This window comes from Homo sapiens, chromosome 4, assembly GCF_000001405.40.
Source record: "Homo sapiens chromosome 4, GRCh38.p14 Primary Assembly".
Taxonomy (NCBI): Eukaryota; Metazoa; Chordata; class Mammalia; order Primates; family Hominidae; genus Homo; species Homo sapiens.
In genome coordinates, this window is record NC_000004.12 from 124529624 (window position 1) to 124543584 (window position 13961).

At 34.4% G+C, this 13961-nt stretch overlaps 1 long non-coding RNA gene across 1 annotated transcript in view; it reads right to left on the reverse strand.

Moving 5' to 3' along the window:
- The window catches only part of LINC02516 (long intergenic non-protein coding RNA 2516), a 58493-nt gene that overhangs the window by 29682 nt on the left and 14850 nt on the right, over nt 1-13961 (reverse strand). The window contains exons 4-5 of the long non-coding RNA NR_110838.1: nt 10703-10762; nt 4597-4625 (exon numbers count right to left, since the gene is read on the reverse strand). This is a non-coding gene — a long non-coding RNA (long intergenic non-protein coding RNA 2516). The remainder of the gene's footprint in view (nt 1-4596; nt 4626-10702; nt 10763-13961) is intronic.

Below are 13961 nucleotides of genomic sequence, written 5' to 3' on the forward strand. Positions count from 1 at the left end.
AAAAAGGCGGGGAAACCTAGCTTTTAGTAAGATGCATTTCTACCATCAACTAAGATGGAGTTACAATCACAAGGAAAACTGTCTGAGAATGGGTATTGAATAGGAATTCAGCAGGGTCTGTGCATGACTTTCCTTAGTGTAGCTCACTAATTCTTCTGTTAATGAGCACTAATTTCACATGTGCTTTTTAAAGCACCTTAACACAGACTTAGTGCATGTAAAGCTCACTGGTTTTGCATTCAAGTTTATTTTACAGATACTGACAATTAGCCATGTCTTTTCTTTATATTTTTCTTGGTGGAGAAAATGTTTTTTATCTTTCCTCAGCTACTCCATGAAAAGTCACTGAGGTCCTCAATTTGCTTGTTCAAATCTACCTTATTCCTAAGGATTTGTGCTTTTCTGCCTGCCTATGAGGCTCACAACTAAGTCACTTATTCAGATCGAGAATCTGGAAGTCTAGTCATGGTGCCAGGCTTCTAAGTCATCACATGAGTTCAATTTTGGCTAATCAGATACAGACCGTAATGCGTACTAGAAAGTTCATGGAACCATGCAGACCAAATGAATCCTGGGTGTGCTAGAGCTGTGAATTCTTGGGCATGTTACTTAATCTCATCTTTCTAACATGCAAATGGAGAATCTCATGCTTATCTTCTACTATTATTGTGAGCAATAATTAGGTAACAAATGTAAAATTACCTAGTAGAATGCCTAGCACACAGTAACAGCCAAAAAAGAGAAATAATTGCTCTTGTTGCTGTTGTTATTTTTACTGCTCACCCAGAGGTGACACCGGGTTACTTTGTGTGCAATTTTTAAGTTGCAGGTTTCAAAATTCCATCACTCTCACTGGCCCTACTTATATAAACAGGTTTTGATTTCTTTTGCATTGTGGTGTTACTATGCCAATATCCTAAGCTAGTTTTTAAGGACTGTGACCCTATCTGGAACTTCGGTGAATGGAATGAGTGCCTAACTTTCTGGCCAGCCCTTTTCTGCAGACTGTACCTACCTGTCCCCTAGGTATCCCACCACTGGCCTGGCTCTTCCTCTGCCTTGTACATAGTTCAGAAAAAGCCTGAGGGGCCATTTTTAAAAAAATAAATAGGCTTGGGTTTGCCATTCCCTCTGGAGACTGTGCTTTGATGTTTTGATGGTTTGAAGTTCATGTTTGCCTCTGGGTCGGTTACGATGTCACCACAGTTCTCAAGTTAGGTTGTGGAATCTGGACTTTCGTACTCTGCTTAATGTTGCTGTGTGATCTATCAGCATTGCATCCAAACACGCTAAGCTATGACTCACATGTTGTATACTTGTGAAATTGGATTCTTTGCTTATAAACACAGGACTTTTAATTTATCCCTGCTTAGTCAATTGCATCTATTTATGTTAAATGCCTGCAGTAGGTAGAGTATCTTATTCTTTGGCACTTCCAGCTTTGTATCCAGCCTATATTTGATAAGAATGTCCTATGCATGTACATCTAAGTTACTGATGTAAACACTTAGCAAGACAAAGCCATTGACAGTGCCCAATAGCATACCAATCAGAAGCTTTCTCCAGAGAGAGATGTATCATTTCAAAAGTACATTTACTTATATTTGTATAGGAATCAGTGTATAATAGATTCAGATTTCCATGCTTCTTTTTTCTACTATAGGAGAACAACTAAAAAACTTTAAATTTCTGGATTATGTTTTGACTTCTGTCAGTTCCAAGATACTTATGTGTTTTGGGTTTTACTAGGCCAGGTATTTAGAGAAAGTACCCAGCTCTAGATTTAATAGTAACTTCAGACCTAAATTTGCCTATTATACAATCATATTTTATTTCTTTAAATTCTAAAGTATCAATTTTACAAATAGATCTGATTTTTCAACGGAATTTTCCTAATTGTTGGAAGAAAACTTATCTGAACTTCGTACTTACCTGAATCCAAGAAATTTTGTCAACTGATAAAAATCAGTACATTAATAATTTTTATTTTATTTTATTGTGGTTAGAACATTTAACCTGAGAATGAACTTCTCAAGAAATTAAGTTTACAATACATTATTGTTGGCTACAAATACAATGTTTTATAGCATATTTCTAGAGCATATTCATTTTGCTTAACTGAAACTTGGTGCCTGTTGATTAGTAACTTCAATGTCCCCCACCCCCTGGCATCCACCATTCCACGCTTTGATTCTAGGAATTAGACTACTTTAGGTACCTTGTATAAGTGAAATGATGCACTTTTGCCTTTCTGTGACTGGCTTATTTCACTCAGCATAATATCCTTAAGGTTCATTCATGTTGTGGAACATTACAGAATTTCCATCTTTTTCAGTCTAAATAGTGCCCAATTGTAGGTATTTGTCATATTTTCTTTATCCATTCATCTGCTAATGGCCATTTTTCTCTTTTTAGCTAACCAGTTATTTTAATAGCAGATAGATATAGCTAGCTCTACTTTATATGAACATTTGGAGTGCTTTAAGTAGAATTAATTAGTTACAAACTTTATTTTGTTTAATCCTCACAAGAATTTACAATGAAGCAATTAGCTCAGTGAGGTGGAGTAATTTATCTAAAGTTGCACAACTAGTGAGAAAAAACTAAGGTTTGAACTCAGGTAGGCTGACACCAGAACAATTACAATTAATCACTTAACCATTAGTACTTTATATACAATATTTATGTTCAACTTTAGAACAGTTAAAGTGGAATTTTGTTACTTGTTTAGCTTTTCCAACATAAGAGATTTTCTCTGGAAATTCCTGGGCCAGATGTAGTGGCTTACGCCTGTAATCCCAATACTTTGGGAAACTGAGGTGAGAGGGTCCTTAATCCCAGGAGTTTGAGACCAGCCTAGGCAAGAGTGAGACCCTGTCTCTACAAAAAAAATAAGAAAAAAAAAATGTTAGCTAAGCATGGCGGCACATGTCTGTAGTTGCACCTGCCTAGGAAGTTGAGGTGGGAGAATCACTTAAGTCCGAGAGTTCAAGGCTGCAGTGAGCCATGATCACTCCACTACTAGAGGAAAAGTCCACATCAATACCTATAGCATAAAAATATAGGAGAGGTTATTCTCCTCTGAGGCCGCTGAGGTATGTCATTGCTTTTGTGTTTTGAATGACTTCAGTTTAAAGATTGAGCAAAATAGCATAGAAAGGGCTTGCTAGGATTTCAAGTCTAACTTTGTAATGAATCTGGTGCTTCGTTACATGGTGGATAGATGTAGAGATAATAGGGACGGCTGTCTTATTGCTAGGAACAATGGTTTTCTTAGCATGACTCTTTATCCCTATAAGCCATCCAGGATTATATTTCCTAGTCCTGTTGACCAAGCTGGAAGCTGTCTCTCCAGCCTCCCTCCCAGCTTCCATCCTCACAACAGCCTCATCAGAGCCTGACTCAGGATGGGGAGTTTTCCTTTCTTTCTTTGGGGTGGCAGCAGTAACAGTTGTTGCTTATGACATTGATAGTGGTAGGGGTGGAAGTTGCAGAAAAATTCATGCTCTTTGGGTGTTAAATTGCAACGGCACAAGCTTACAGCCTTAGAATTTAGGTTGGTGGCCACAGCAATGAGATGCACATTGCATTGTGCATTGTTCCTGGCTGCTAAGTTTTGAGTCTGATTTTCCAACACCCCCCAATATTTCTGTGAGGTACCCAATATTGTTTCAATAAACTAGAAACATAATGTGGGGTATTGGTTAAGAGTATAGGCCCTGGGGCTAGAATCCCTGAAAATAAATCCCTGCTCTCCACTTCTTGTGACCTGGGGTAAGTAAGTTAACCCCTGAGTGTCTCAATTTCCTTATCTGTGAAAGGGAATGATAATAGTGTGGGAATTTGATGAGTATGTAGTATTCAGAAGAGTCAATGGCAGGCAGAAAGCATTCCATAATTGTCTCTTATATTATGAGGCTAATTTTCTCATTAATCAGGCAAAGTCTGGTTCTTACAACTAGGAACTATGACTGATAATTATTAATATTTCCAGTTTTAATGAGGAAACTGAGGCTCAGAGGAATACTTAACATTATAAATGTAAAGACCTGTGGATGCAAGAAATTAAGAATAAAATTCAGATTTATCCTACCCTCAAACTAACTTCAGTCTGTTTTATTCCCTGAATTAGTATAGGATTACTTAAAATATCCTTATACCAAACAAATAGAAGTAACTTACTTCAAATGCAGTTGAATGGGGAAAGAAGATTGGAATAGAAAATTTTCTTCTAACTCTGTCAATATTACATTTAGGAGACCTCTTATCAGACTGAAATTTCAATCTCCAATAAGACCACAAGAAAAAGAAAATGTCTGTGTACATAAGATATGGCATGAACCCAATAACTTAACACTGTTTGTTAAAACTGTCTATCAGTTAATCCTATTATATAGCTATTTAGTGCCCTAGAAGCGGACATGATTACTAAAAGAGAATGTGTGTAGTTTTTCTTTAAATTTTTTTTCTCCCATCTCATTTTCTTGGCTTCAGAATTCAGTAAGCTGCAAATCTCCACTTTATTTCTGATACAAAATGTAGCAAGGTTAGCAGAAACTCTTGATATAAGGGCTTATCTTTCCCCCTTACACTCACCAGGCAGAATTTCATCTCTTTTGCTGTGGCTGCAAAATAAAATGCATGTTCCAAATGAAACAGTCAAGCATTTCACATTTGAGCTAAGCTTCTTTTGCCATAGTCAAAAGCACTTTGCACGTCGATCAATGAAATCATCAGAAATGGGCAATCATTTTCCACCTGACATGTTTTCCTTTGTACAAGCCCCACTACAAATGAATATATTTATCTTTTCTAAATGTTCCTGTAATTTCTCTAAGGCCAATGTTGATGATTTGATGGAAAACACAGGAAATTGTCTTTTATACTGTGCATTGTAATTGCACCATTTACATACTTTATGCAAAGCTAATCATTGTGCATTATATACCAAATGCTTTTTTAATTGCTTCTTTTAGAAACTGAAAATTTTTTATTCTTTTCTCTTCTAAATTCACTTTTTAGTTTTAACATAGAATATGAAAAATAGCATTTCCATTATTTTTTAATTGCATGTAACATTGAATGTTTTAAATGTATACATCTTAGTAACACTTATAATTTCTCCATTTCAGACTGTGTTATTTTTCATTTTTCCTTATGATCACCAACAAGACATACATTTTTCAAACAAAACTGATAAATTCTCAGTTTATTAAACCAAGCTAACATAAAGTATTTTAAATATTCAACTTCTTGAAAAGCAATTGTAAAATACATGTGTGCAGTAATATCTGGTTAAGTAATATTCTGGTAGTAGAGTTCATCGTCTTTTTCTTGTCCTTGAAGAATAAGACTTTGCTATTTGTAGTATGTTTAAAAATATATAAAGGGCTTTGACATTGATTTTCTTAATTCCAACAACAACTATATAAGCTGTATAGAGAGGATTTTGTTACATTATCATTTGAGAACATGATGACTAGAGAGGTTAAGTTGCACTGCACTATTCCCTAAGGGTGTGAAAAAAGCGCAATAAATGTCAAAGCTGGGATTTGAATCCATTATTCTAAAGTCTCCATTCAGTGTCCTTCCTACTACAGCAGTTTTTTTTATTCTCTCACTGAGTTCATGTGACAGTTTGAAGTGAAATCAGTTGCTTTATCTCAAGGATCCTGCTCTGGCTGCCAACCTTTCTGCAGAATATACAATGCTATGTTTCTAGGTTCACCTGGAGCAAACCTATCTTAGCCTTCCTTGAGCTGAATGTATGTTTTACTTTCCAGCCTCTCTCTCTGTAAGGCCTGAGGGAATACAGTGTGCATAACACAGTGCTGGCACCAAGTAGATATCCAATATCTGTTTGTTAAATGAATGAGTGATGTCTGGGCATGCTTGTAATCTTGTGGAAAGAACACTCAAACCAGAATCAAAATGTTTGACACGACACTATCTGTGGTCACAGGTTTAAGTGACCCTTTTGAGCTCTGTGTCACCGCAAAAACTGATATATTATTAAAAGGTGACATTTTATAAATAGGCTTATTGGTCTTGGCACTGTTTTTGAGTTAAAATAAAAAACAGAAACAAGAACAACAGCAGTACCCTTTCCTTCTTAACTTTTCGATGAGCAATACAATCTTTTGCCGTAGTTTAAGAAAAGTCTACATGAATACCTTTAGCATAAAAATATAAGAGAGGTTATTCTCCTCTGAGGACACTGAGGTATGTCATTGCTTTTGTGTTTTGAATGACTTCAGTATAAAGATTGAGCACAATAGCATATAAACGGCTTGCCAGGATTTCAAGTCTAACTTTGTAATGAATCTGATGCTTCGTTATATGGTAGATAGATGTAGAGATAATAGGGACAGCTTTCTTATTCCTAGGAACAATGGTTTTCTTAGCATGACTCTTTATCCCTGTAAGCCATTCAGGATTATATTTCCTAGTCCTGTTTCCCTTCTGGCTGAAAGTGACATATATGAAATACCAAATTTTCATTTATGTTTGCATTATCCCTTCACTAAATCTTCAGAAACTTTTTTTTCATAATAGTTTAAGTCCACATTAACACCTGTAGCATAAAAAGCCTTTTTCAGAAAAAAAAAACAACACAAAAAACGTAGATTTAGACATGATTTTCCTCTTTAAGGAATAAAGTATTTGTAATCAACAAATTAACTCAATGGCTAGAGTTTAATGACAGCTAAGAATAAAATGACAAGGAACCTCAAATAATATTTAGAACTCATATATGTCTATTATGAGGCACACATTTAGACCAATTCTGCTTATTTGAAAATGTATTTTAAATGATTACATACAATTATGAAATGATAGCTAGGTGTATAGTATGAAAATTAGTAATTCTTATTTATATTTATTATTATTATTTTTAAAAATTAGAGACATGATCTCCCTATGTTGCCCAGGTTGGCCTCAAACTCCTGGGCTCAAGCGATCCTCCCACCTAGGCCTCCCAAAGTGCTAGGATTACAGGTGTGAGCCACCACGGTTGGCTGGTGATTTTTTAATATAATGATTCTGTTAATATATGAAACTCTCTGAGATTCCAGTTTTCTCATCTATAACATAAAATTTTAAGCTAGATGATTTGTTTAGTTCTTTCAGACTCCAAACTACAATGATTTATCTCTCTTCCAAAAAATGCAAAGTTATTTTACAACAATAATATTTTATAAAGTTATTTTCTTCTCTGGTTTCTTACATAATTCCATGAGAATGTCTTATGGACTCTTGAAAACTTCATGAAGGCTGTCATTCATGTAATAATCAAGTACTAATAGCGCATTAATTATGTAGAAGACACCATACGCTACAAAATACCCAAGGAAAAATAAATCGTTCATACCTTTAAGGAGCATACATTCTAATCTGACAGACAATAAATACAGGAAAAGTTAAATATGTAATCATTATCTAAATGGTGTCATAAGGAAGTTAACAAATCTGATGTAATTGTAAGTGCAACAGGAGCTGAGTTCATAAGAAAATGAGCCATTTGGGGTTGAACTACGGACCCAATAGTTCTCATGAAAAAGGAGATTTGATCTGTGTCTTGAAGAATGGGAAGAACTGAATAGGTAAAGAGAAGAGCCATGACAATCATAGATAGCTACTAGCTGTAGAGCTTTTACAGTGTGATGGGTGTTTTTACATGGGAATGTGACGAGATGTTATAACAAATATTTTTATTCCTATTTCAAATGAGGAAAGCAGAGGTATCAGAACTGAAGCTCATATTCTGGTCTCTGTTCTCCAGTCTTCCACTCTTACCTTTACTTTAAACAGAAGCCTGAATATGTATCATTTCTTAATTTTATTATTATGATTTTTTGGAAGAGATTGTAGGATTAATTAGTATCTTAATTGCAAACTTTCATTCCACATTATCTTTTTCATATAGATTCCTGTGGTATTACTATTCTTATTTAACAGAAGAAGAAGCTGAGGCAAAAGCAATTCTACATAGAAATCCAAATCATGAATGTGGAAAACTGTAAGACATTAGGCTGTGAATTTTGTCTTAAACAGTTTACAGGAAAAAAGACATCCAGAAAGGTTGATTGTACAGCTTCTCTTTCACATATAGTCAGCTTGTATCCTTTAGACCCTAAAGAGTTCATAAACCTTTATGCATCTCTAATATACATGCAAGCCCTAATGTACCTAACTAGGAACTCTAATTATCATTATTATTTAGAAATCAGTAAGTGGTTTTTAAGTGCTGGCCTTGTGCCAGGTGTCAAGCCCATTGTCCCCTCATAATTAAGAATAAGCAACAGTTGAATATTTTTTATAACTACTTACCCAAATGTGCTATAATTACTAGGAAATTTCAGTTCTAAATATCAGCTCTGTTGTAGGTAGAAAAAAAATCTTTAAATAATAGACAATTCTCTCTTAACATCATGTAGGAAATTCTAAAGGTCAAATTGCTAGCTGAATGTCTGCCTTCCTCCTGGAAAACAAAGTGTGGGCTCTGGAGGATGTGTTAGTAGCCATTGTGTACATTTACAGAAAATGACAGGAAAGGAATTTTATGCAATCAATAGTTGGACTCCTTGAAAACTCTAATCAGGGACTAATGAAAGTCCTAGGCCTTCTCTCAATCAAAAGAAACAAGGGAAGTGTCATTTTGACATCAAGAACTATCTTCTACAGCCTTGAAGTAGTTTTCTTAATAAGAACACAAAGCAGGAAATACAGAGGAGGTTGGGGAGCTGGGAAACAAAATTTCTGCAGTAGCATGTGATCCATTTTAACCCTTATTTCCCTGATACTAAAAATTTCATAATGTACTTTTGTAATTTCACACTGAAGAATTAGTTCGTAGTATAAATTTCTTTCTAAAATAAACAATTTCTTTTTCTAATGAAAACATTTTGTTTAGGTCTACATATCAATGAAAGCTTTTTTCATGTATTTAATCAAATGATTCAAAAAGGGTCCATCATAAGGTGGACCAGCTAATGTGAAAGGCTCCTGTGTCCAAGGATCTTTTTAATACTCCATTTTTTTTTAGCAGCACAGAATTTAGTATATAGCACCTCCACTTTAATACTTAATAGTCAAAAATAAGTATGAAAATTAGTATGAAATTTGTACAGTGTTTCCTTTTGTGAAATTGTATCAGACTCACTGGGGGTAGTACTTACATACTTATCCTAGCTTGAAAAGATACCTGTTCATAAAGGAACCTTTTACACTGGGTATTCCATCTCCCTTTGCAAAATGTATTTGAGTGTGAATAGGAACTTTCAAACAATCTAAATAGATTTTTCCTTCCATATGCCTCAGGAATGCTGCAGGAACTATTTGTCTATGGCAGTAGTTCTTAAACATGCTGGTCTCAGGACCCTTTGCACTTTTAAAAATTACTGAGGATCCTCAGATAATTTTGTTTATGTGGATTATATCTATCAATATTTAATTAAAACAGAAATAGTAATTTAAAAATAACAATAACAAATCCTCTCCATGTGAACATAAATAATATACTTTTGTGGAAAATATATTTTCCAAAACAAACCAGAAAACTTGGCAAGAATAGTGACATGGTTTTACATGTTTACAAATCCTTTTAAATGTCTGTATTAACAGAGGACAACTGGTTTCTTACATCTGCTTCTGCATTGGATCTATTGAGATACATTATTTGGGTTGAAATATATAAAGAAAATACAGGCTCACATAAATTTTTAGTTGGAAAAGGGAGGTAATATTTTAAGTCTTTTCAGATATTTCATGTATTCTTCCTTGATACTTCATCAAAATTTGACAAGCAGTAGTTTCTTAAGGTTTAGTTGCACTATGAAATCTGTAAACATATCAATCAATATTTTGAACTCTATTAAATTAAAATCCATTGGTTTAACTTGTGCTTTGAATAGATATTTTATCAGGCATGATTTTGTAAAATCATTCATTGGTCATACAGAAAAGTCACTAACTTACAGTACCACCTCATGTTGACACCTTTCATTATACAGTATCTTTAAAAATTATTAATATTATCATGGTTTCATTCAAAAAATCTTTAGGTATTAGAAGCTGTGGAGCTCATAGTAGTGATACAAGATTTCTAAAATTCTAATTTTTACTTGCTAGCTTGAATTTTATCACTAGCAACAAATACTGTCAGTTGTTTTCTTTGAGGTGACAGGTCATTTTATTTATTTTTGAGAAAATATTGGCCAGATACAGATATACAACTCTAAATAACCCCAATTTGTCTGCTTGTCATTCATTTAAGAGAAAATGGTGCTCCATGAAAAAAAATCTAGATTAGTTTGCAGTTGAAGAAATTACGTTAGTACTTTTACTTGTACAATAATTTCTGTGTGTGCACCCAACAGAAGTGCTCTATGCATACTCCAATTTTATCACATAAAGGTTAAAATATCAAATGTTCTCAAGGACGAATATTGAATAAAATCAATCCTACTTGCTGTTTCATCAGACATCCTTGAGTGAAGCTGGCAATTTTTATAAATCTGATTGTGTGCTGAAGAAGACTGCAATAAGTATAGTACGAATTGGTGTCACTTCCCTGATTCATTGTAAGGCTCAGCAGTTTCACACACCATTGCTTTTTGCATCATCACTGCAAATGTCAACACAATGAAATAGAAAAATAATGCCATTATATCATTATGAAAATAGATTTAAACTCACAGACCTCTTGAAAGTGTCTTAGGAGCTCCCAGGAGTACACAGATGGTACTTTGAGACTGCTGATCTATAACGTGAAAATATTATAACCTCAAACCCTATCATTCAAAGTTCATTAGTGTATGAATTATATGTGTTAGAAGATTTCTATTTGTAAATATATATAGATACACAATACATGAAAAATAGCTCATAAAATTTTATGGAGGTTGAAAATTTTATGAGACTAAATACAGCTAGGTTTTATTAAAGTTTAAAATATTTCTATTTATTATTTTATTAAGATATTTTAAATTTACAGTTAATACTCCCTGAATTTTTTTTCTTCAGGTTATGAAAAATACAAAGTAAAAAAGTGTTTTCTAAGACATCCCTGGTTGTTCACACCAGAGAGTTAAATAAAATATTATTATTCACCCCTAATGAAACATAAGTGCTTTAGATACTAACTTAATATCCAGAAGTTAGACCACTCCATATTAATAATATTATATTTACTTTCCAGTTATAAATGAGAACTAGTTTTATAATTTCATTTTAATTAGTTCACTTAATGATATTTTGGGTCCCTGAACTGAGTGGTCAGTGTACAAAGATAAGGTACAACTTCTGCCCTTAAGGTGTTTATTGCAATACAGTGTTGGGTATACTCTAAGGTGGTAGATACTATAATAAAACAAAAATGCAAGGAACTGTGGAATTACAGATGCAGAGGGAGTAGCAACTCCACACGGGAAAACAGAGAGAGCCACATAGAGAAGGAGAAACTTAATATTGATTTTTGAAGACAAGTACTTAAAATAATAATTACCACTTCACTTATTATGTGATGGATGCTGTTCCAAGCAGTCTGCACTTATTCACTCAGTCCTTATACAGGTTGAGTATCTGAAAAGCTTGGGGCCAGAAATGTTTCCAATTTCAGATTTTTTCAGATTTTGGAATATTTGCATACACATAATGAGATATCTTGGGAATGGGACCCAAATGTAAACACAAAATTCATTTATGTTTCATATGTACTTTATACACATAGCTCAAATATGATTTTATAAAATACTTTTAATGATTTTGTACATGAACACAGTTTGTGTTAAGTGCTTTTGTGTGGAATTTTCCACTTGTGCCATCATGTCAGAGCTCAAAGGTTTGGATCTTAAAGCATGCCAAATTTTGGGTTTTTGGGTAAGGGATGCTCAACGTGTAATAACCCAATATGATTAGTACAATTATTATCCCAGTTTTACAGGTGTTGAATCTGAGTCACAAGTGATTAAATGGAAACCTATTCATGGTAAAACAGCTAGCAAGTATTGTATTCTTATTTGAACCCAAGCAGTCCAGCTTTAGAGTTTGTGCTTTTAATAATTGTATTGTTCTAGAGTCTAAAACTACATTGAGTCTAAAATTAACCTAAAAATTACTCAATAACTATTCTGGGATCTATATGTTGTACACTAACATCCCGTGTGTGCACAGAAGGAAAAGACATGCTGGGTGAGAAATGACGTAGTCTGGTGAGAATTCACGATATTCTGCTCTGGTTCCACTATGACACAGAAAGCAAAGTCTTCTTCTTGGAAGAAAAGACAGATAAGGAGATGTGAATGTTGGACTTCAGTAGATATTTAAAGAGTTATAATAGTCACAGTAGTGTATGCAGAAAGGAAATAACTACCCATAAATACAACTAAAATTTAAGATCTTATATATTTAGTGACCCAGGTCCACATTGTTACTGATTTTTTTCCACAGATCTCAGAAACTGAGAAAATATGGATTGTCCCAGGGTTAATAATAAAATAGGAATCATAGATATTTTCAAAGAAGTGCCTAAAATCATGGACTCAGGTTTAGGCAGAATAGAAAAAGTCCTGACAGAGAAAATGCTGAGCTCTGTTATTTTACTTTTGACTTCTCTAACTATGAAAAGGACGTTCAGTCTGGAAATGGCAGAGAAACATTGATCAAACAAATATTGAAGTCCAAGGTAAATGGAACTATTGTTATGAGTGCATAGAGTTTCCAAGTGAATGCATGTTGTCTGTTCCAGAAAAGAGATGAGAATAAGTTTCCTATCTGAAGTCTGACTGCCTGGGTTCAAATGATCATTTTTGTGATAGTGAGTAAATTGTTTAAACTCTAAGCTTTCCTATACACAAAATGAGAATGATAGCTGTAACTTATGTCTGAGTGTTATAATAAGGATTAGCTGATTAAACCATGACACGTACAGATTAGTTCTTGGCATAGAGTAAGGACTTAATAAGTGTCCGCTCTTACCACTAATATTGATGTTATTATCATCATAGACTAAAGGAATAAAGATGAAGAGTTGTCAGATGAAGAATTCACTATACGATAGCTTTTGTTTAAGACAGTCAATCAGAGTCTGACTACTTCAAAAATAGCTTAAGTACATTACCCTGGAAAAAAGAAAAAATTGTAAAGTAGAATTTCTGGTATCTAGGATCTTAGAAGCAGAGGAGGAATGTATTTCTTTGTCATCTCTCTGAGTTAGTCCCAGTAAATTTGAATCTTAAGTATAAATTGTTGGTTGTATCCCTAAATAAAAATACAGCGCTTATATTTCTGTAATTCTTCAAAGTGTATGAAATTTTTTCCCTAGTATAAAAATAAAAAAGCGCAATGAGTAGGTACTAAGCCCGGTAAGACTGCCAAAGCAAACTAATGCAAGCTTTCTGGAATCTGTCCTACAATCGCCAAACATGTCTTATATCCTCACAAGTTTAACTGACTAATCCTTCCTTATCCTGGCCTTAACTAAAACCTGGCTCTTCTCAGATTTGTCGGAATCCGTTACTTGCGCCCCCCGAACAACTATGAATACATGTATCAATTTGCGGTCAAATAATGCTTATGATTAATTATCCGAGTCTCATAGTATCAATGAAATAGACAAGGATTCTTGATCTATTTGACTGAGTTTTTAAAAATGTTGTGGAAAATAGGTAATGTCCATAATTACATGGTGGCTAAAACAGAAGAAAGTTGGTTGAAGGTGAGTAATACCAATAAAACAGCTACCCTAACACAGTGAAACCCCGTCTCTACTAAAAATACAAAAAATTAGCCGGGCGAGGCAGCGGGCGCCTGTAGTCCCAGCTACTCCGGAGGCTGAGGCAGGAGAATGGCGTGAACCCTGGGGGGCGGAGCCTGCAGTGAGCCGAGATCGCGCCACTGCACTCCAGCCTGGGCGACAGGGAGACTCCGTCTCAAAAACAAACAAACAAACAAAAAAAACA